A 23,498-nucleotide genomic window follows, 5' to 3' on the forward strand; every position below is an offset into this window, starting at 1 on the left:
GAAGAATCAATATTGTGAAAATGGCCATACGGCCCAAAGTAATTTATAGATTCAACACTATTCCATCAAGCTACCATTAACTTTCTTTACAGATTTTGAAAAAACTAAATTTAATATGGAACCAAAAAAAAGCTCATATAGCCAATCCTAAGCAAAAAGAACAAAGCTGGAGGCATCATGCTACCTGACTTGTAGTATCGAACTACACTACAAGGCTACAGTAACAAAAACAGTACGGTACTGGTATCAAAACAGATATATAGACCAATGGAACAGAACAGAGGCCTCAGAAATAACAACACAGATCTACAGCCATCTGATCTTTGAGAAATCTGAAAAAAACAAGCAATGGGGAAACGATTCCCTATTTAATAAATGGTGTTGAAAAAACTGGCTAGCCATACTCAGAAAACTGAACTGGACCCCTTCCTTATACCTTATATAAAAATTAACTCAAGATGGATTACAGACTTAAATGTAACACCCCAAACCATAAAAACCCTAGAAGAAAACCTAGACAATGCCATTCAGGACACAGGCATGGGCAAAGACTTCATGACTAAATCACCAACAGCAATGGCAGCAAAAGCCAAATTGACAAACGGGACCTAATTAAACTAAAGAGCTTCTGCACAGCAAAACAAACTATCATCAGAGTGAACAGGCAACCTACAGGATGGGAGAAAAATTTTGCAATCTAGCCATCTGACAAAGGGCTAATATCCAGGATCTATAAAGAACTTAAACAAATTTACAAGAAAAAAAAAACACCCCATCAAAAAGTGGGCAAAGGATATGAACAGATACTTCTCAAAAAAAGACATTTATGTGGCCAACAAACATGAAAAAAAGCTCATCATCACTGGTCATTAGAGAAATGCAAATGAAAACCACAATGAGTACCATTTCATGCCAGTTAGAATGGTGATCATTAAAAAGTCAGGTAACAACAGATGCTGGAGAAGATGTGGAGAAGTAGGAATGCTTTTACACTGTTGGTGGGAGTGTAAATTAGTTCAGCCATTGTGGAAGACAATGTGGTGATTCCTCAAGGATCTAGAACTAGAAATACCATTTGATCCAGCAATCCCATTGCTGGGTATATACGCTCAAAATTATAAATCATTCTACTATAAAGACACATGCATGCATACGTTTATTGCAGCACTATTCACAATAGCAAAGATTTGGAACCAACCCAAATGCCCATCAGTAATAGACTGGATAAAGAAAATGTGGCACATATATACCACGGAATACTATGCAGCCATAAAAAAGGATGAGTCCATGTCCTTTGCAGAGACATGGATAAAGCTGGAAACCATCATTCTCAGCAAAGTAACACAAGAACAGAAAATCAAACTAGCATGTTGTCACTCATAAGTGGGAGTTGAACAACGACAACACAGGGACACAGGAAGGGGAACATCACACACCAGGGCCTGTCGGGGAGTGGGAGGCTAGGGGATGAATAACATTAGGAGAAATACCTAATGTAGATAACGGGTTGATGGGTACAGCAAACCACCATGGCACGTGCATACCTACGTAACAAACCTGCACGTTCTGCACATGTGCCCCAGAATTTAAAGTATAATAAAAAAAATCAAAACAGAATATTAACAAGGAAACGGACTACTTAAAGGTGGTATAAAACAACTATTTCTGACAGAGGTATAGACAGCACTCCTCAACATCGGGATATACACCCTTCTCAATAGCTCATACAACATATTTCTTGATAGACCACCTCTTAGGCCAAAAAAGAAGTCTTACCAAATTTTTTAAAACTGAAATTTTATGAATTATTTTCTATGACTAAACTCAAATGCAAGTATACAATAATAGAAAAAAATTGAAAAAAAAATATGCCAGGCATGGGTGGCTCACGCCTGTAATCCCAGCACTTTGGGAGGCCGAGGTGGGTGGATCACCTGAGGTCAGGAGATAGAGACCATTCTGGCCAACATAGTGAAACCCTGTCTCTACTAAAATGTGAAAAACTAGCCAGGCTTGGTGGCATGCACCTGTAGTCCCAGCTACTCAGGAGGCTGAGGCAAAGGAATCGCTTGAACCCGGGAGGCAGAGGTTGCAGTGAGCCAAGATTGTGCCGCTACACTCCAGCCTGGAGATAGAGCGAGACTCCATCTCAAAAAAAAAAAAAAAAAAATACACACACACACACACACACACACACACACACACACACATATACACACACATAGGAATTTAACAAAACACTCAAGCATGCTCTTATGCAAATGTTGTAATAGTTAACATTGTAAAGATGTTCATCCTGGTCAATGTAATCTACAAATTTAATGAAATGTTTTTCAAATTTCTCATTGCATTTTTGAAGAAATAGAAACAGTAACCCCAAAAGTATATAGAATTTCAAAAGACAATAAAGTTCCCAACAATCTTAAAATAATAATAATAATAATAAAGCAATATTGCAGGCATTAAAGTTCCTGATTTCAAAAGACATTCCAAGCTACAGAATTAAAACAATCTGGTATAAGGATGAAAAATTAGACTAATGAAATAGAATGCAACACATATATATACTTTAACATGTATGGTCATATGAGGAGTCATTTACATAGCAATAATTATTACTGTAAGCTAATAGGTAAAGGCAATGCAAATTTCTGTCACCAAATCATTCAGTAAATATAATCTGAAATATAAAAATACTGGAATATCACTCAGTTTTCAAAAAGCAGAAAATGTTCTACCAATTATAAAGATAAATCTTGATAACATTATGCAAAATGAAATGAGTCAGCTGCAAAAAGACAAAGATTATATGAGATATATAGCTATAAAGCATTTACACTCTTAGAAGCAGATAAAAAGAAAAAGGTGCCCTATTTGCTTAACCCCCAACAGCAAGAAAGTCTGTCAGTCATCCATGACAAAAATGTCTTAATGAGAGAACCAGGCAGCATGGTTAATATCTGTAATGACAGCTACATGGTACAGTAAGGTTGAAGAATTGCTTCAGGCCAAAATTTTAAGACCAACCTGGGTTATGCAGTGAGACCCCATCTCAAAAATAAGTGCCTTTAAGAGAGCTTTGAGATCCAGGGAGGCAATTGTGAAACTTTGCTAAAGCCCAAGATTGAGGAGCACCCTTTTCAGAAGGCAAGCTTTCATTCAGGTGGCAAACTACAGGACCCCTGCTCTTGACTACAGACCAGAAAATGTCCCACCCAACTTGGTCCCACTGAAAATTTTGAACTTACTCTGTAATCATCCCAAACTCCTCCCAGCCACAGTCTGTGAGAGGTCTTGGGTCTTCCAGAGGCCTGGAGAGTGATACCCATTTAGAGCAATGCTGGCAGGCCTGCAGACCTTGGTCCCAATAGCAGTTCCAAGACTCAGTTCCAGCTTCCTAAGCCACAGTTCATGGCCAGTTCTGCCTATGTAGAAATCCACAGTGACCTCAGAAATCCTCTCTGGTACTCAGTGAAAGCCATACTAATCCACATCCTAATATAAAGCCCACCATATGCAGACCTGACTGCAGAAACCTGCCCTAGCATCTACCCTACTGAGCAAAGTCCTGAAGGATATTTACTCTGTCCAAAAATAAAATGGGAATTACAACTACCCAAGCCCCTTGTAATAAGCTAACCCTAGTGCAGAGCCAGCAGCCTTGTGACCAAGCTACAACCCCACTCTACTACAAACCCAGAGGGCATTCTATCACGCTGGAGGCCCAACAAAAGATTTTTACCCTCTGAAACCAGTTTATAAAAACTTTAAGAGGTGTTTGCGCCTTCAAATTGAGACACCAATGGAAAAGTATATTGTGCCCATTGTCAATGCTTCTATTTTAACACAGCACTTGACGTATGTGGAAGAAAAATTAGTCAAAAAAATTTTAAAGTCATTGAAATTGAAGACAAATAAGTAAAACATTGCTGCTTGTAGATCATGCAGTGTTCTCTATAAAAAAAACCATAAACAGTACATTAAAACCTTTTAAAATACACTCAGTAAATTAGCAAAATATAAAATTAACATATAAGTTATGATTCCATACACTTAAACTATCTGATAAAATAGAGGAAGAAAACAATCTTATTTACAATAGCACTAAAATAATAAATATCCGAGAACAAATTTAACCGAGGAGCTGAAAAACTTTTCAAGTGAAAGATTTATCAATGAAAAATGAGAGAACACAAATAAATTGAAATATATTTTGTCTATCGATTCAAAGAATAAATGTTAAAATGCCATATTATCCAAAGTGGTCTCTAGATTCAATAAACTCTCTATCAATATTCCAGTGGTTTTTTTTCACAGTAATGAAAAATACAATCATAAAATTTACATGAAACTACAAGAAACTGTGAATAGCCAAGGAAATCTTGAGGAAAAAGAAAAAAGCAGGACAACATACTTTATAATTTCAAACTATATTTCAAGACTATAGTAATAAAAACAGGATGAAATGTACAGAAAAATGAACAAAAAACACCCAATGATACAGAAACCACTACTCTCACATATTTCAGAGATGATGGAAAAAGAGAACTTAAAAGATAGTTTAACATGGAGTACCTTAAAATTATGGAAATATCTGTGTCCACAAAAACAAAAACAAAAAAACTCAGATTGTGCACTCTCTTGTATGCCATGAACAGTACTTTGGCTGTCACTGTAAACTTGAAGGAAGATTACTGAAGGGAAAAAATAATTCTTAGAAATTTTAAAAGCATAAGACAGAAGATGCCACTGTGTGAGAGAAAATTAAAAAATAAAAATAAAAATTAGGCTTTCCAGAAACTATTTCTTTTGGAACACAGCTTCCCATATCACTTTAAGGACTGGCTTTCTCCTTGACTTTGGACCTCTCATCCATGTTGTCTGTATTCATTCTCACCTACCTGGCGGTTCTTTCACCAGCTCATGTCTCTTCATATTCCAGGGCTCTTTTCCTTGCTCCAGAAAAATGATCAGGTCTGGCTTAGGGGCAGCAATACCTGTTTTATTAAAAATGAGTAACATGCATCTTGCTCATATTCTCCAATTAACAACTTAGTAATGTGCTCAGTAAAGAGGATGTGATAGAATATTCTAATACATTTATCCCAAAATACTAAATTACAACAGAAATTTCTAAATATTTAGAAAACACTCTAATTTTGTAAGTTCTTAATTTTATCACCTGGTACTACTGAATTAAAAATTGGTGGTGGAAATTAGATTTTAAGGTGTGAGCACCAGTATTTATGCCAGTAAAATTTTGAAATTACCATTAATCTAAAGTGAAGGACAGAGATCAGCTCAAGAATGTGGTTAAGTTAAGGTCAAGATGAAACATCTTGAAATTTTTTTCTCTATGGAAAAATCCCTATGATTTTCTTGAAAACAGAAATCTGAAAGCATAAATTACCAAAAAGAAATTATACAAAAGAGAAATGATGTTGGGAGCCGAAAGGCTGAGGGTTGTGACCAACTCAGCATTCCACTGGAGGCTATATGATCAAACAGCAAACTGTTTATCATGAATGCAGAATGTGGGCGAATTCGCTTCTGCTCCTGCCGCCACAAGGTACACTAAGGACAGTCACCCCCTGGTGCCATGCTTCTTGAGGTTATCTACTGGAACATCTGCAGAGTACTGTTTAAAGAATACAGTCATGCAGGGTTGTACTAAGTCAAGCAGCTGACCACAACCTCCCCCTTCTCCCTATCTCCTTTACTCAATAAATATGAAGGGCTATAGAAGCTCAGGGCCCTTGTTCACTAGAAGCAAAGAGCCCCCTGGTGCCGTCTTCCAAATATACTCTTTTGTCTGCCTTTATTCCTGCATTCATCCTCCTTTGTCCAGGCCAATAAAGTCCACAGCAAAATGAAACCTATAGTGTATACTAGGAATTGCGTATTAAAGTTATTCTCACCCAGGAAGACCAGGTTTCTGTAGTTCTCTAACATCACATTCCTATATAAATTCTGCTGTGCAGTGTCCAGGCATTGCCACTCCTCCAGAGAGAATTGTATGGCCACATCCCGAAATGTCAACGATCCCTGGAAAACACACACAAACACACATATTTACCAAGTGGTCATGGGCAGAATTTTTAATTTGACTCAAGGTAAAATGGAAAGAGTAAAAAGAGCTCATTCTGACTTACAGGAGTGACTGAAATCATTCAATAAAATAGTTTTCAACACAACAATATTCTCTAATGTATTCTCTAACTCTGAGAAAAGAAAGTGGTATAAGATCCATAACATCAGTGTATGTATAGTATTTTTCTAGATAATAAAGTATAAACTTGAGGGCATAAACACTAACATGTACAATTTTGAGTGCTATATTTACATCAAACAGAATTAATTGTGTGCCAGGCGTGGTGGCTCATGCCTGTAATCCCAGCACTTTGGGAGGCCAAGGCGGGCAGATCACCTGAGGTCGGGAGTTTTAGACCAGCCTGACCAACATGGAGAAACCACGTCTGTACTAAAAATACAAAATTAGCTGGGTGTGGTGGTGTGTGCTTGTAATTCTAGCTACTTGGGAGGCTGAGGCAGGAGAATCGCTTGAACCCAGGAGGCGGACGTTGTGGTGAGCCGAGATCATGCCATTGCCCTCCAGCCTGGGCAACAAGAGCGAAACTCCATCTCAAAAAAAAAAAAAAAAAAAAAAAAAGAATTAATTGTTTGTATTTTTCAGATGGAAAAGACATAGTTGTGTATATTGTTCAGATGGAATAGACATGTTGAGTTAGAAGGTATCACTCAAATTTTAATGTGTACAATAAGCTGGAGATCCCATTAATGCAGATTATTATTTTTTTTTTTCAGAACATCAGGGATAAAGTCTGAGTTGCTGAATTTTTAAAAAGCTCATCAGTATGCCAATGGTTTTGGCCCAAAAAGACTATTTTGTCAAATACCCAGTAATTGAATGAGCCTGTGTTTTTCTCAGTTTTTCTGGTTTGTAAACAAAGATTCTCATCTTCATTTCCCAAAAACAGACAAATGCAAAGGAAACCTAAGAAAGAAGGGCAGCTGCCAGATTAAATGTGTTGGTTTGTTCACATCAGCTGCATAAAGATACTTAACGATGAACAGAAAAATAATTCTATAGTGAAAAAATGTGTCGGAGAGCTTATCAACCAAGTGATTTATTAACATCAACTACACTAGAACAAATTTTTATAATGTCCTGATGCACCCAGAAGGATACAGCATTACTACTGAGATATTACCCCCCAAAAGGTAAATTATAGTCTGAATTTAACCATAAGGAAACATTAGTTTAATGGAAAGTTCAAGATACAGATATCTCCCATGTTCTGTAATTTTTAATAGTGATTTTAAATAGTCTTTCTTTAGCACTGTAGAGAGCAGTTATCTCCTATAAATTTTTTTAGAATTTCCTGGGTAATAAATACTATACTGCTTCAATGAGTGGTTTCTTAATCCTGTACTGCATAGACATAATAAGGAACACAGACAAAACCTCAACATTACATGTTCTCTGCCTTCACTAAAAACCCCAGGTTTTCCCCAATAGGAATTTTGAGTATCTACACCTTCCCATGTTCAACAGCCACAAAGGGACATTTTAAATATTGCAGATTATAAAATCATAGTGAGATTTCTGCACGGCATATAAGAAGCCATAATGTAGAGAAGGCTCTGGTATATAGAAAAAAATATATTTTTCAGAGACTTTGACTATTGTAAGAATTTTTTAAAGTAGTTAAGACAAACTCATTAGGGAGGAAAAACACAAGTAGAGAAGTACAGGTTTGCAAGTACTAAATGTATGTTTCCTGGAGGAAGCAGAGTGGACACAGATCTTGATCTGAGACACATTTAGCTGAAAAAAAAAAAGGTCATTTTTTTCTCTTTCTCCTCCTTTTCTAGGATTCTTTCTCAGATAAAATTCTCTGGACAAATTACACCTGCATCTTGAGAAGATGCCTTTAAAAGAGTCAGCACCACAGGTCTACCTGCTGTCACCACATCCACAGGCAGAAGGACCAAGACAGAAAAACTCCACCCAATTCTGTCCTTTATAGCAGAAGAGATGAAGAAACAATGAGTAGCTCCAGAGATAAAAATATGCTTTTCTTTATTTTGTCCTCGGGAGCCATCCCCTGACACAGGCAACAGCAATTTCTGCCACAGTAATGGAAATATGGGCCACGCTGTCCTGCCCCTACCAAATCCAAACAGAACAGGTTCTTGGACCACCCTTTAATGCAAAGATGGAACTTAACTCTCATGAATGTATTATGAATTCCTCATACTTGATTCTGGCCTCACCTTAGAGTCACATGAGCCACTTAATTAAAACAACATGGATGCTTCCACAAGAACAATAAACAGAATCCATGGAAAGGGCACAAGTAAAAAGAGTTCTGCAAAATGGCCAGGTGATACTATTTAGCGGCCTGGGCTGATAACCCCTTAACTAAGACTAAGCATTTCCTCTCAAGCTCTAACGAGCTTATAAATCACTTGGTAATTTTCTCCCCACTCTATGAAATGTAATTCTGCAGGTATGGAAAGGGTCCACAAATGGGTCTTTTAAACAAGTGCGCTGTCAGTAATGATGTTGTTCCCACTGGGCTTATTATTACCCTTAATTAGAAAAATGAGGCACAACACAGAGTCCCTTACACCCAGCACTCTTGTCACAACACAAATACTTCTGGTACAAATGAAGACAAACATTCTTCATCCTAAAGTATTATATTCTTTGCTGACTAAAGTTTACAGAGAAAATAGAAAGCAGCAATTTCTGAGTAAGTCTGCATTTGGAAAACAACATGTGCACATGTACTAATGTAATTTTTATTAAGCAGGTATTATGTGATGTTACAGAGTGCTGTGATAGCACATTATGTGATTTAATCCTAATAACACCCTGTGAGTTGATACTAAGTGTTCAGTAATTCCAACACTTTAAAGGACCCAGCATTTTTATTTCTATTTCTGTTTATCTGTCACTGATTTTTTCAAAAAATGCATAGAAAAGGTAAATATAGACAGATGAAAGGGATACAGATGGAAAGAATTTAATGCAATTTAGATAAATTTTTATTGTGTTTATATTTACTTTCTTGTGACTTGTGAATCAACTACTAGATCTGCAGGAACAGAAAACAGTTGCTAAATAATGTTTCTGCAAGCACTGGTTTTAATAAAAAATTTGAAAAGATCCTACAATACATACTTTATATTTCCCGTTATCTGCTTTTGGGTTTCAGAAAATGTTGAGCACCAGCTCTAAAAAGGCAACAGGATTCATGACTCAAAACTCTGATTTCCTGTAATCAGTTCTGTGAGGCAAGACTCCGGGGTAGAGCCAGACATAAATAAGGCCTCCAAAAAGGGTGAATATGAACAGGGCTGGGGCAGAGCGTACAGCCAATGTACAATTCTGTTCTCTATGCCACTGGGGGGTATTGTCAGTTCTTTTTGTTAAAGCTTACTTAAGTAAACTTAAATCTGAGTTTGTATAATTTTAATCTTTTTTATCACTGTCCTGTGAATTTTATATTATATGCTAATAAGCAATTTTAAAAATCCCTTAAGGTTTTCTAGAATAATTTTTTAGAAGAAAAATAAGTATTCTTAGCAGGGTAAAATAAATACAAATAACAATGACGACTCTTCTAAGTTCAGCTGTAGACATCAGAAGCCACAATATAAAGTGGCCCAAATAAAGCCCAAGTTTTTGCACACAGCTATTTATTGTACCCACCATATGATGTATAATTCAACCATATTTCCAGTTGCTAGTCTAGACTAAAACTGCCAGGATGGTAGGAACCATGACTGCTTCATCTATTTTTCTTTTCTTTTTCCTTTTTTTTGAGACTGAGTCTCACTTTGTTGCCCAGGCTGGAGTGCAATGGTGTGATCTCGGCTCACTGCAGCCTCCGCTTCCCAGGTTCAAGCGATTCTCCTGCCTCAGCCTCCCAAGTAACCAGGACTATAGGCATGAGCCACCACACCAGGCTAATTTTTGTATTTTTAGTAGAGACGGGATTTCACTATGTTGGCCAGGCTGGTCTCGAACTCCTGACCTCAGGTGATCCACCCACCTTGGCTTCCCAAAGTGCTGGGATTACAGGTATGAGTCACTGCACCCCACCTGCTTCATCTATTTTTTTTTTATGACTATATGAAATGGAAGCAATTAGTTTATCTGTTTGAGCCCAATTAGTTTATCTGTCTGAGCCTCGAGACCTCCTGATTTTTTACCCGAGTACAGGGAACTTGAAAAACTCTCTTCTGGGTACCAACCAAAGATACTTCTTGTATAAGGGGAGAAACAAACACAAGATGACTCATTTCTCTCACAATGGGACAGAAGCAGAATTTGTCACTCTTATCAGCCTGACACAATTCTGTTCTGGACATTCTCAAATGTCTCAAAGATTCAGAGGTGATTGTGAGAGGGTTCCCCATGACCCTGGGCTGATGGTCCACTGATAAGCCAGGCAGAGAAGACTCGGGATGATTCTAAATAAAAAATGGAACTGCCTTGGTTGAACTCCCAAACCTGGGTCATCCATCCTGATTTGCTAGCTGTCCTGATTTGCTAGCTGGTGGGTAAGTAGAAGGACAAGAATACTTTACTCCAGTATCACATTTTACAGGTAGATATAGTTGTGGTCATGGCTCTGGATACTTTGTGGCCTTAAGATGCTTGTTTACACTTAGAGATTCTGCCATCAGATTCTATTTACTCCGGGAGCCTCTCACATACCTGTGGCAGATTAATGAAGAAGATGTGAAAAGGTCAAAAAGCCACACTCTCAAAAGAGGAATTTAAAATGTCTATGTTGATATCTCACAATGCAGAAAATGCCTCCTGTTGGTTTTCTGTAAATTCTCAATCCAAAGTCTGGCCCTGCCTTGTAAATCCCAGGCAGAGGCCAGCCAGATCTTATTTGCAGATTCTAGGTGAAATCAACCTCACTCTGCATTTTTGGGTGTTACAGCAAGTAGAGTGAAATCAAAGGAGAGATTCCCTCATAGAGGCTGCTCTAGAACATTCTAAATAATATTTTACCTTAAAAAAGCTGACACAACATGAACATAAGCAGACAGTTTATTTGGGTCAAGCTTAAGGATTTTAACTTGAGACCAAATATTCAAGTTGCCTGGAATCCACGCTTTCATTAGCAGCACTTACAAGTGGATTTGCAAAGGCAAAAAAAAAGGAACAGTGAGTGAGCTGATACAAAATTGGTTGCGAGAAATTCTTATTTATGTAAAGAAATAACTTTAATAATTAATTGGATATACATTGTTAAGGTTAAGGATATGGAATACAGTGTCCAGTGTGGAATTATTAGTTTAATTTATAGCTACTTGTGGCAATAGTGAACAGTTTCAAGAGATACATAGCTGAAAAAAAGGGAGAAAAACATGATTGTGCTCTCATTTTAATGCCTCTCTGAGTCTGATAACTAAAAGGACTTGCATTCCTCAGACAAAAACTTTTTTTTTCTTCTCAATTCTCAAGACCTAGATTTAGAATTTGGAGCTGCAAATTCAGGTCCTGCATGGGTAAAATAGCAGCAAGTGTTACCTGAACATTTGTGGGCATTTTAGCATGAGGAGGGAGGGAGAAGTGGATTCTCATGTCTACAGGTCTGCTCAATGCACATATTTTACTCTGATTGGGCCCCATGGTCACTGAATCAGTTTCAGGTCTGAGGACACAAGAGTCACTGAAAGAGGTAAAATGGCTAATATCTGACCAATGAAGTCTGTAGAAATCTGGTCTAGCCTCTCTAAAAGTGACTCTAGACATGATAGATACCAAGTAGGCAGACGCACAATTCCACCTGCATATTTAGGGGACAGCATGCACTTCACAGCACAATTGTGAACTGACTGGAAGCCGAAAAGGCCCATCTAGAGTAAAGCTTAGTTGGCACCTTATGTGTTTACATTATGTCTGGTAATTCTAGACAGGATTTGGAAAATATAATTAAAAGCAAAATTTTCTTCAGCCCCAGAGGAACTGCACAGTAACAGAACAGAAAGAAAACTGTTTTATTACACAATTACATGTGAATGTGACATGCATTACAGTCAATTTGCTCAAGAGATTGCAAAGACAGAAAGACAGTGACCATAATCAGTCTACAAGTAGAATTTACAGCACCATGTCATACATAGTTCATCCTAAATTCATCTGGTAGTTGGGAAGGCCATCCATGTATGCTAATTGGTTATAATCAATGACAAAATAAACTTTTCACATCTTCATGACTGGAGGTAGTTTTGCAACTTGAACCCCGGTGCCTGCTGAAGGTAGGCTTTGACTCTTCTACAAAAATTGTTGATTCGGGTGCTATCTTTTTGGCTCTTTACATTTTAAAGCAATAGGTCTCTACTCCCTGAGCACTGGGCTTGAGTACTCCTGTTTCCCTCTCCTGGTGGCTAGTGTACTCTCTTGACCCCTACCATCTGCCACTGAGGCACAGCCCACAGCACAGGGCTCACAGCTGGAAACTCACATCTTAGGTGAACCCCAATTGCCACAGCAGCACTCCAGTGCCACATCAGACAGTGAAGCCTGAGCAGCAGGAGGAGAGCTTGCAGGCCTCCTGGGTAGAATTGCACCTTCACAATAATAGAAAAGGGAGCACTGTTTCAGCCTCAGTTTTTATTTATAATGGTGGCATGAAAAAAATACTGCTGGGTTTTGGCATGAGTCCAGATAGAGATAGCTCTGAGAGTTCTCACTGTGACAGCCCACGTCTTTCACAGACACCATGGGACTAATAGGGTTTCTGAAACAGACACACAATGCATTTGAGAGAAAAACAGCTCTCATTCTGAGAAAGATTATATTGAAAGAAAAAAGTTAAAAGTGTCTTAAGAAAAAACTGAGATTGGATATAAGATTGATCAAGTCAGCCAGAAAATATCTCCCTAAGAAGAATTTCTCTCCAAACACCCAAGTGCATAGCTACTCTCAGCAAGAGAAACAGGAGCATTATTGAATAAAGGGGGCATATTCTCAGCAGAATTTTTTTTTTTTTTTGAGATGGAGTTTCAATCTTGTTGCCTAGGCTGGAGTGCAATGGCGTGATCTTGGCTCACTGCAACCTCTGCCTCCTGGGTTCAAGTGATTCTCCTGTCTGAGCCTCACAAATAGCTGGGACTATAGGCACGCGCCACCACACCCAGCTAATTTTGTATTTTCTGTAGAGACAAGGTTTCACTATGTTGTCCAGGCTGGTCTCAGACTCCTGACCTCAGGTGATCCACCCACCTTGGCCTCCCAAAATCCTGGGATTAGAGGCATGAGCCACTGCACCCAGCTCTCAGCAGAATTTTAAAAGATTTATCTTCCATCTCTGCTGCTCTCTTATTTCCTAACCATTGAATGTGAGATCTATATTGGAATATATCTGACAACTTCCAGTAGCACTTTTTTATAAAAAATTGAAATCTGTGTTAATATAGTAGAATATATTAGAGCTTGCAACATAGCTAACTGGAGAGCTATTATGGTTTTTGGGTAGCCATATCATCTGTCTTTATTTGTCCTGTAATAGCAGCATACCAATTTGGTAAAATATAAGACACTAAAATTATGCTTACCTATAATTATTCCCACTGGATAAATTAATAGCATGTCAGACTAATATCTACTGCAACGATTTAATGGTAAATTTTTTTGGATATCAGATATAAATATATAAGTATGAATAATTTTATGTACTAGTCATAAGGTATGTAATATTTTAAAAAATTATCTGAACTGTAATTCAGTTGAAACACTGTATTTCAAAAGTATGAATAACAATATTAAAATAACTAAGGAATTCAATCAAAGTAAATATTGTGGCCTTATATTCATACTATTGTAGAAAATACTGTTTAATTTATATGAATGCAGGTTGTCTACAAACACTACACATAACTATACTAACTGTACTGAAGTAACCCAAGTACAACAGACTCCACTGTTCAGTTTATACACTGAACTCTTCTGGCTTTTGCAGTGTAAGTATGTCAGCCTGCAAATAATCACCTTGGATAATCAGGTTTCTGCCAAAGAACTTACTCAGTATCTTTTAGTCTATATTATTCTGCATTGCTAAATTTATTCCGATCTTTGTGCTCAACTTTTTTATGCTCTTGAAATGAAGTTTACTCTGAACAAATCTGTGTCTAGTTTAAAGACTAAAGAAAGATAAAAAAATATAACCTTTTGCCAAGACAAAAAGAAAGCAATGAATCTCAGGTCCCAGATAAAGACAATTCTGAGTCAAAAAGAATGACAAAAGGTTTGTTTCATTGTTAATATGATTTACATATACTTCAAAAAGCAGAAGAAATATATACATATAATCTAAACTTTTTTTTAAAAAATTAACAAGTTATCCTCCCTTATTTTCACATATGAGAATAAAACCTCTTATTGCTAATTTATATTTTCTCTTACAACAGCCAGGTCTCTGGACAAGTTCTTGAACTCTTGGATCTCTGAATTTTGCACAGTGTGTGCACTTGAAAGGATGTTTATGGGGGGAAAAGCAGAAGAGAGAAAGATGTTATTAAGAAACCCCATGGGTTCACATGAATAAAGCAAGTTCTTAGAGACCTATGAAGAGACTTAGAATCTGACACAGTAATAATCAGAGACTACATCTGACAAGCACTAATGGACAGATCATTGAAGAAGAAAATTAACAACAATATTAGGACCTGAACTCAACACTTGACCAAATAGTCCTAATACACATCTACAGAACTCTTCATCTAAAAATACCATAATATACATTCTTCTCATCACCACGTGGCACATACTCTAAAACTGACCACACAATCAGAAATAAAACAATTCTCAGCAAATTCAAAAATCCCAAAATGACACAAACCACACACACGGGCTACAGCTTAAGAAAAATATAATTCAATACCAATAAAACAACTGGAAACCATACAATTAAATAAAAATTAAATGGCCTACACCTACACTTGAATAACTTTTTGGTAAATAATGAAATTAAAGCAGAAACCAAGAAGTGTTTTGAAACAAATAAGAACAAAAATACAAAATACCAGAATCCCTGCAATACAGCTAAGGCAGTGTTAAAAGAAAAATTCATAGCGTTAAATCCTCACATCAGAAAGTTAGATCTCAGTTTAACAACCTGATATCATAAATAAAAGACTGAGAGCAGTAAAAGCAAATCAGTCCCTAAGCTAGCAAAGGCAAGAAGTAACCAAAATCGGATCTGAACTGAAGGAGATTTAGACATGAAAAACTACAAAATATCAAGAAATCCTGGCATTAAATCTATTTAAAAAAAAAAAAAAGGAAATAAACTACTAGCTAGGTTAATGAAGATACGAATAAACACAATTAGAAATGAGAAAAAGAGACATTACCACTAACCTCACAAAAATATACTGAAGTCTGCTATGCACATAAAAAAAAATCTAGAAGAAATGAAAAAATTCTTCAAAGGACACAAATGTGGCTAACAAGCATATAAAAAAATGCTCATCACTGATCATTAGAGAAATGCAAAAGAAAAACCACAACAAGAAATCATCTCAAACCAGTGAGAACGGCCATTATTATAATTCAACCATTGTGAAAAGCAGTGTGTTGATTCCTCACTAAACTAAAAACAAAATTACCATTTGACCCAGTAACCTCACAATTGGGTATATACCTAAAAATATATAAATTATTCTATCATAAAGACACATGCACAATCACATTCATTGCAGCACTATTCACAACAGCAAAGACACGGAATCAACCTAAATGCCTATCAATGGTAGACTGGATAAAGAAAATATGGTATGGTTGGGCATGATGGCACATGCCTGTAATCCAGCACTTTGGGGGCCAAGCCAGGTGGATTGCCTGAGCTCAGGAGTTTGAGACCGGCATGGACAACATAGCAAAATCCCATCTATAAAAAAAAAAAAAACATAAAGAAAAATTAGCTAGGCATGGTGGCACAAGACTTTAGTCTTAGCTACTTGGGAAGCTTAAGTAGAAGAGGACTGCTTGAGCCTGAGAGGTTGAGAGTCAGCACAGACCCTGATTCAGGGCTCAGTCCCACAACATTGTCCTCACTGCAGATGCCAGTCACAAACTTCATGGGCTCATCTATGCTTCTGACCTACTGTTTAAAAATTGGGGACTCCCATAACCTTTCTGAAATTCAATAATCTGATAGAGCTACTCACAGAACTCAGCAGAACACTGTAGTTATATTTACAGGTTTCAAATAAAATATACAACCCCCAAAAAGTCAAATGGAAGAAAAGTATAGAACCAAGAAAAGAGGTGGGAAAAGATGAAGCATATAGATAATAAATAGCTGTGATTAATAAAATTCTCTATCCTCTGTGTTCTCCAGTAACACTTTATGAAAAGAAACACCCTTCCCATTATGACTTAGATGGTACTCTCTTTACTTACCTAATACACAGCCAGGAAAACACTCTGCATATTTTCTTCTTTTTCTCATTAAAAAAGCAGCTGAGTTTGTCTTCAGTGGTCAACATAAAATACTTCTTAATCAAAATTCACTTGTTTATTTTCTTCCCACAGGCTCCTGAACTCTGAGCTATGCTCAGTCTGAGCCACCATACAACCTCATTTTATGTCCCTACTAAGAACACACAGACTTTAGGGTAAAACATTGTCTGATCTAAAATCTGATTATTTCACCCTTCATTTAAACATTCCCCTCACCTTTTTTCTAATCTTATTTGCTTTTCCCTAGGAAAAAAAGCCCTTTTCTACCTAATCTTTGCAATCCTTAAAGATCTTATAGTTGGTACTTCCTCCTGTTGCAATACTCCTTTGGAATTCTTTTTTTTTTATATATACATCTAACTGGTTTATTTTAAAATCTCTCAAAACTGCCTCAAAAAAGTAACAATTTTATCTTCAGTAAGACACTCCCAAACCCCTTCTATCTTAACCTTAACTGCATCTGTCTGTGGGGCCCCAGCTTTCCAAGGCTCTGTAGCTTCTCTCACTATAGAGGCTTCTTCCATGGCTGGGGTAAGCAGGCTGGGACATCTGCAGGAAAGGCTTTCCAGAAGGAACTAACTGGGCCTTTAATAACCTCCTTTTGCCGGCTCAAAATTAACCTTCGCTCGCAGTCATTGGGCTCAAGCTTTAATTACCATGTCAGAGTCATTCACTTAGTTTTTGAAAATAAGTGTTTGAAAAATCCAGCAAAATGATTCAAAAACATATAAGAAAATTTTAAGGTGCTTACATTTTGTACCTCAGTAAGAGAAGCAAATGTATTTATTTCTTTTGGACAATAAAGTATTATTTTATTTTTTGTATTAAAAATCATGTGGTAAACAGTTACATGGGAACACTTCTAGGAGGTACCAAATTTCATCAGATAAAATTTAGCATTAAACTCAGAAATTGAAATAACAGGATATAGAACAAAGATATTTACTTTAGCAAGTTTACCCTGCAAAAAAAGAAACTGATGTTTTCATGAAACTATGTAACTCACCAATTATCTACCACATTTTCTTGTGGAAATACATTAATTCTCTACAGCCGAAATGGAAGAAAAATTTTTCTTATTTTTTTTCCTTGGTAGCTAACATTCTAAAAGCTAGATGGAATTCTGTTTGAAATCATTCAGCCATAAAAAACACACCTGAAGGCCAGGCATGGTGGCTTACGCCTGTAATCCCAGCACTTTGTGGGGCCAAGGCAGGTGGATCATGAGGTCAGGAGATCGAGACCACCCTGGCTAACATGGCTAATATGGCGAAACCCCGTCTCTACTAAAAATACAAAAAAATTAGCTGGGTGTGGTGGCGGGCGCCTGTAGTCCCAGCTACTCGGGAGACTGAAGCAGGAGAATGGCGTAAACCCTGGAGACAGAGCTTGCAGTGAGCCGAGATCCCACCATTGCACTCCAGCCTGGGTGACAGAGCAAGACTCTGCCTCAAAAAAACAAAAAAACAAAAAAAAAAACACCAGAGAAAACTCCTAAATTCACTCTGAGAAAGAAAAAGGTGAATGAGAATTTTCAACAAATAAAATATACAGATATTATTTTCTGAAACTCACCTTTTTATGCTCTTTGTAAATATTTTCTTACCTTTCAAGCCCTACTAATAAAATGCAATTTACAGTTAAAAAACTGAGGTCAGCCGGGCACAGTGGCTCACACCTGCAATCCCAGCACTTTGGGAGGCCAAGGTGGGCAGATTACTTGAGGTCAGAATTTTCAGCTCAAACAGCCTGGTCAACATGGCAAACCCCCATCTCTACTAAAAATACAAAAAGTAGCCAGGTGTGGTGGTGGGCACCTGTAGTCCCACCTACTTGGGAGGCTGAGGCATGAGAATCACTTGAACTCGTGATGCAGAGGTTGCAGTGAGCCAAGATTGCACCACTGCACTACAGCCTGGGCGACAGAGGAAAACACTGTCAAAAAAAAAAAAAAAAAAAACCAAAAAAAAAAAAACCCTGAGGTCAAAATAAGTGAACAATGCATTTAATCATGTCAAGGTACGGATATGTCTGACTCATGTGTCAAGTCAGGCCATCCAATTACTTGAGAGATTCTCCCACCCCATCCTGTTCACTTAAGTGCTCAATAATCATTCTCTCAGGAGACTCTGAACTATGCCCCAGAGTGCCCCAGGTATATTTTACTTTGCAAGTTTTTGCACCATCTCACTGGGGTCAGTTGTTTTTGTCTTTGGAGTGCTATTTTATTTCACAAACCTTTTACCATTTTTATTTCACTATTTTTCTGTCCCCTAAGAGAATGCAGGGGCAAAAATTATTTTGGTTTCCCCTTCAATACCAGCATCTGATTGTCTGAACAGCAATGTGTCTCCAAGAAATGGAAGCTGGGTTGGGTAAAGACAATATTAATATCTCAAGGGAGTAGCTTTCCAAAAAAACAGCACACCAGAAGATGACTCAGCCACAGTGCATTCACCTGCTCTCTTGAGAAGCTACGCTTCATATCTCAGGTTGTCTTATGGGAGATCAGAGGCTACACTCCATACCTCAGGTTGTCTTATGGGAGAAAAAGACCCAGGAGCTGATATTCACTAGACACTCTCACAGACATAGCCATGGCGGGTATCTTGGTTTTTCCCCAGACAGTACTGAATCTCAAGTCCAAGAAAAAACTGAAGGGTGGCTGAGGACACATCTCCCTATAAAGTTTCCAAAGGGAAATCTTGACCCAAAAACATTGTGATATCTGTGTCTACGGAAAACAGAAGAAAAAATATTTACAAACAGAAAACAAATCTTTTTAAATGTGCCATCAAATGCTTTGTCAAAAAATGATTAAAATAGGTATCAAAATGTACACTAAACTATTTGTTGATAATATGAATAAGGGAGGGGAAATTGGCATTTGGGAATGTCAGAAGGAAGTGAAAATCAAGTATTTTACTGCAAGCCAGAGTCAGGCCGGAGAAATAGGGGATGGGGGATGGACTTGAGGCCCTACTTGGGACACATGTGAAAAATGCAAGGAAACAGCAGTTCCCTGTGGGGTGTGAAAATAATTAAGTGGCTGGCAGTTAGACTGAGGAGGCTGTAGTTCCTAATTTCTACTTTTAAAAAATCTAATTCGGCCAGGCGCGGTGGCTTACACTTGTAATCCCAGCACTTTGGGAGGCCGAGGCAGGTGGATCACTTGAAATCAGGAGTTCAAGACCAGCCTGACCAACATGGTGAAACCCCATCGCTATTAAAAATACAAAGTTAACGGGGCGTGGTGGCGCATGCCTGCAATCCCAGCTACCTGAGAGGCTAAGGCAGGAGAATCGCTTGAACCTGGGAGGCGGAGATTGCAGTGAGCCCAGACGGCGCCATTGCACTCCAGCCAGGGCGACAGAGTGAGACTTTGTCTCAAAAAAACTAATTCAAATGCATTTTTTGTAAATTACTATATTGGGGGAAAAAATTCAGGCTTAACAAACTATAAACTGCCAATTAACCTCTGATTACATAACCAAGAAATTTCCATCTTGATAGTACGAATTAAGAAACTACGTAACTGTACCTAACCAATTATCGAATTTGGTTTTCTTCATTAGGCACCTTATAAAACTCTTCCGTCAAACCTCTTCAATAGACCATAAACTACAACCCATAGCTGGGTGCTCTACAATTTTGGAATCACTCTTTGGTTAAATTATTTAATATTTGTGCGGTGACTTCTGCAAATTTTTAATAGGAGAAAACAGGGGCTGGGAACCTCACGGACCAAAGCTCTTTCCATTCTTGAACCCACACGCCGAGTCAGGATTCTCCTGTGACGACCCTCCCATGCTCCCTGCACATCTGAGAGAGACTCCGCGCTGCGGGTGCAGAGCGGCCCCAAGAGGGCTCCAGGCCAGGGCACAATCACAGCGCAGGGAAAAGACAGGACGCCCGGGGACCGGGTGTCAGCGCAGCCGCCATCTTATGCCTGAAGCGGACTGAGGTCGAGCTAGGCAAGGAGAACACGGGGCACAGATTGTGGAGCTGACTGAGAGGAGGCCTGAGTCCCGCCACAGCCACTTCCCACCGGTTCCAACCAGCGGCTGCCACTCTCTCGGGATGTCGGACCCGGCTGACTCACCATTTCTAGGCTTCCGGGGGTCCTGGCGACTTAGTTGTGAATCTCCCAATACCTGCAGGTCACAGGGCCATAGAAGCTGGGCCTTTAGGAGCGGACGACACACAGCAGTAAGGACGACACCTTGACCTCCGCGTGCAGCGAGAGCCAACGGTCCTACCACATCCCGGAAGCCGCCCTGTCCGCTCCAGCTGCGTGCCTGATTGGACGGTCCCAGTCCAGCGTCCCTGATTGGATAATGTTTAAGGCCCCGCCCCTTCAGGCCCTGAGTGACGGAAGATGTTATCAGATGCTGGGCTGACTGAAGAAAGAGTGCCAGCCCAGTCTGCCGCAAAGGCCGGGCGTGATGGCTTACGCCTTTAATCCCATCGGTTTGGGAGGCGGAGGCGGGGGGATCACCTGAGGTCAGAAGTTCAAGACTAGCCTGGTCGACCTGGTGAAACTCCTTCTCTACTAAAAATACAAAAATTAGTTGGGCGTGGTGGTGGGCGCCTGCAATCCCAGCTACTCAGGAGGCTGAAGCAGGAGAATCATTTGAACCCAGGAGGTGGAGGTTGCAGTGAGCCGAGATCGGGCCATTGCACTCCAGCCTGGGCAACAAGAGTGAAACGCCATCTCAAAAAACAAAACAAAAAACCCTAATTTTAGTAAAATCTTATAAATAAATCCATCAAATTTGTCATTTTTGAACGCTCTAGATTTTCATATATATTTTATAATCTCTTTTTTTTATTTGTTTATCTTTTTGAGACAGTCTCCCTCTGCCGCCCAGGCTGGAGTGCAGTGGCAGGATCTCGGCTAACTGAAAGCTCCGCCTCCCGGGTGCAAGTAATTCTCCTCCCTCAGCCTCCCCAGAAGCTGGGATTACAGGCGCCCGCCACCACGCCCTGCTAATTTTTGTTTTTTTAGTAGAGACAGGGTTTCACCACGTTGAGGCCAGGCTGGTCTGAAACTACTGACAGGCAATCCGCCCACCTTGGCTTCCCAAAGTGCTGGGATTACAGGCTTGAGCCACGGCGCCCGGCCTTATAAACGCTTATAATTTTTTAACTCTTTCGATTTTATTAGACTTTTTTTTTTAACTTGAAACAACCTTTATTTTATTTTATTTGAGAGTCTTGCTCTGCTGGCCAGGCTACAGTGCAATGGCATGATCTCAGCTCACTGCAACCTCCCCCTCTTGGGTTCAAGCGATTCTCCTGCCTCAGCCTCCCGAGTAGCTGGATTACAGGCGCCCTCCACCACACCCAGCTAATTTAGCATGGTGGCCTGAACCTGTAGTAGCAGCTATTCAGGGGCTGAAGTAGGAGGATTGCCTGAGCCCAGGAGGTTGTGTCTGCAGTGAGCCCTGATCAAGCCACTGCACTCCATTCTGGGTGACAGAGTGAGACCCTTTCTAAAAAAAAAAAAAAAAAAAAGCCAAAGCATATAAACTTAAACTTATGAGAGTTTGGGGGTTTTATTTTTGTCTTAAATTATTATATTTCAATAGTTTTGGGGTACAGGTAGTATTTGGTTACATGGATAAGTTCTTTTGTGGTGATTTCTGAGATTTCGGTGCACCAATCTCCCAAGTAGAGTGCGCTGTACCCAATGTGTACTCTTTCATCCCTCATCCCCTCTCCCACCCTTCCCACTGAGTGCCCAGAGTCCATTATGTAATTCTTTTTAATTTTTAATTTTTTTTTTTTTGAGACAGAGTTTCACTTGCCTCGGCCTCCCAAAGTGCTGAGATTACAAGCGTGAGCCACCGCGCCTGGCCCCATTTTGTAATTTTTATGCCTTTGCATCTTCATAGCTTAGCTCCCACTTATAAGTGAGGACATACAATATTTGGGGTTTTATCTCTTTTTTTCTTTTCTTTTCTTTTTTTTTTGAGACGGAGTTTGCTGTAATTACAGGCATGAGCCACCATGCCTGGCCTAGTTTTTGATGTTTTGATTATGGTCTTTTCTGTTTGTTTGTTTGTTTGTTTTTGATGGAGTCTCGCTCTGTCGATCTCGGCTCACTGCAACCTCCGCCTCCTGGGTTCAAGCGATTCTCCAGCCTCAGCCTCCCGAGTAGCAGGGATTACAGACCCATGCCATCGTGCCCTGCTAATTTTTGTATTTTTAGTAGAGGCGGGGTTTTACCATGTTGGCCAAGCTGGTCTGGAACTCCTGACCTCAGGTGATCCACCAGTCTCGGTCTCCCAAAGTGCTGGGATTACAGGCATGAGCCACCATGACCAGCCAATTATGGTCATTCTTGCGAGAGTAAGGTGGTATCACGTTGTGGTTTTGATTTGCATTTCCCTGATCATTAATCATTAGTGATATTCAGCATTTTTTTTCTATGTTGGCTATTTGTATATCTTCTTTTGAGAATTGTTTAAGTCCCATCTGTCTTTGTTTTTGTTGCATTTGCTTTGGGGTTCTTGTTCGTGCACTCTTTGCCCAAGTCAATGTCTGGAAGAGTTTTTCCAATGCTTTAGAATTCGGGTGGTTTCAGGTCTTAGATTAAAGTATTTGATCCATCTTGAGTTGATTTTTTTATAAGGTGAGAGATGAAGATTCTTTTTTTTTTTTTTTTGAGACGGAGTCTCACTCTGTTCCCAGGCTGGGGTGCAGTGGCACGATCTCTGCCTCCCGGGTTCAAGCAATTATCTGCCTCAGCCTCCCGAGTAGCTGGGATTACAGGCACCCGCCACCACACCCGGCTAAATTTTTTTTGTAGTTTTAGTAGAGACGGGGTTTCACCATCTTGGCCAGGCTGGTCTTGAACTCCTGACCTCGTGATCCACCCACCTCGACCTCCCTAAGTGCTGGGATAACAGGTATGAGCCACTGTGCCCAGCCGAAGATCCAGTTTTATTCTTCAATATGTGGCTTCCCAATTATG

General features: G+C 39.2%; 1 protein-coding gene and 1 pseudogene across 2 annotated transcripts in view; one reads left to right on the forward strand and one right to left on the reverse strand.

Moving 5' to 3' along the window:
* Nucleotides 1-20,770, reverse strand: part of ZNF728 (zinc finger protein 728) — a 28,294-nt gene extending 7,524 nt beyond the window's left edge. Inside the window, exons 1-3 of one of the 2 annotated variants that reach the window (NM_001267716.2) lie at nucleotides 20,622-20,770; nucleotides 5,919-6,045; nucleotides 4,902-4,997 (exon numbers count right to left, since the gene is read on the reverse strand). In NM_001267716.2, coding sequence (NP_001254645.1) covers nucleotides 4,902-4,997; nucleotides 5,919-6,045; nucleotides 20,622-20,624 — 226 coding nt within the window. In that variant the 5' untranslated portion in view covers nucleotides 20,625-20,770. Of the gene's footprint in view, nucleotides 1-4,893; nucleotides 4,998-5,918; nucleotides 6,046-20,621 lie in introns of those variants that run through there. The other variant, XM_047438797.1, reaches the window with a different exon arrangement.
* On the forward strand, nucleotides 12,562-13,441 carry BNIP3P36 (BCL2 interacting protein 3 pseudogene 36; annotated as a pseudogene).
* Nucleotides 20,771-23,498: the final 2,728 nt, after the last annotated feature.

This window comes from Homo sapiens, chromosome 19 (assembly GCF_000001405.40).
Source record: "Homo sapiens chromosome 19, GRCh38.p14 Primary Assembly".
Lineage (NCBI taxonomy): Eukaryota > Metazoa > Chordata > Mammalia > Primates > Hominidae > Homo > Homo sapiens.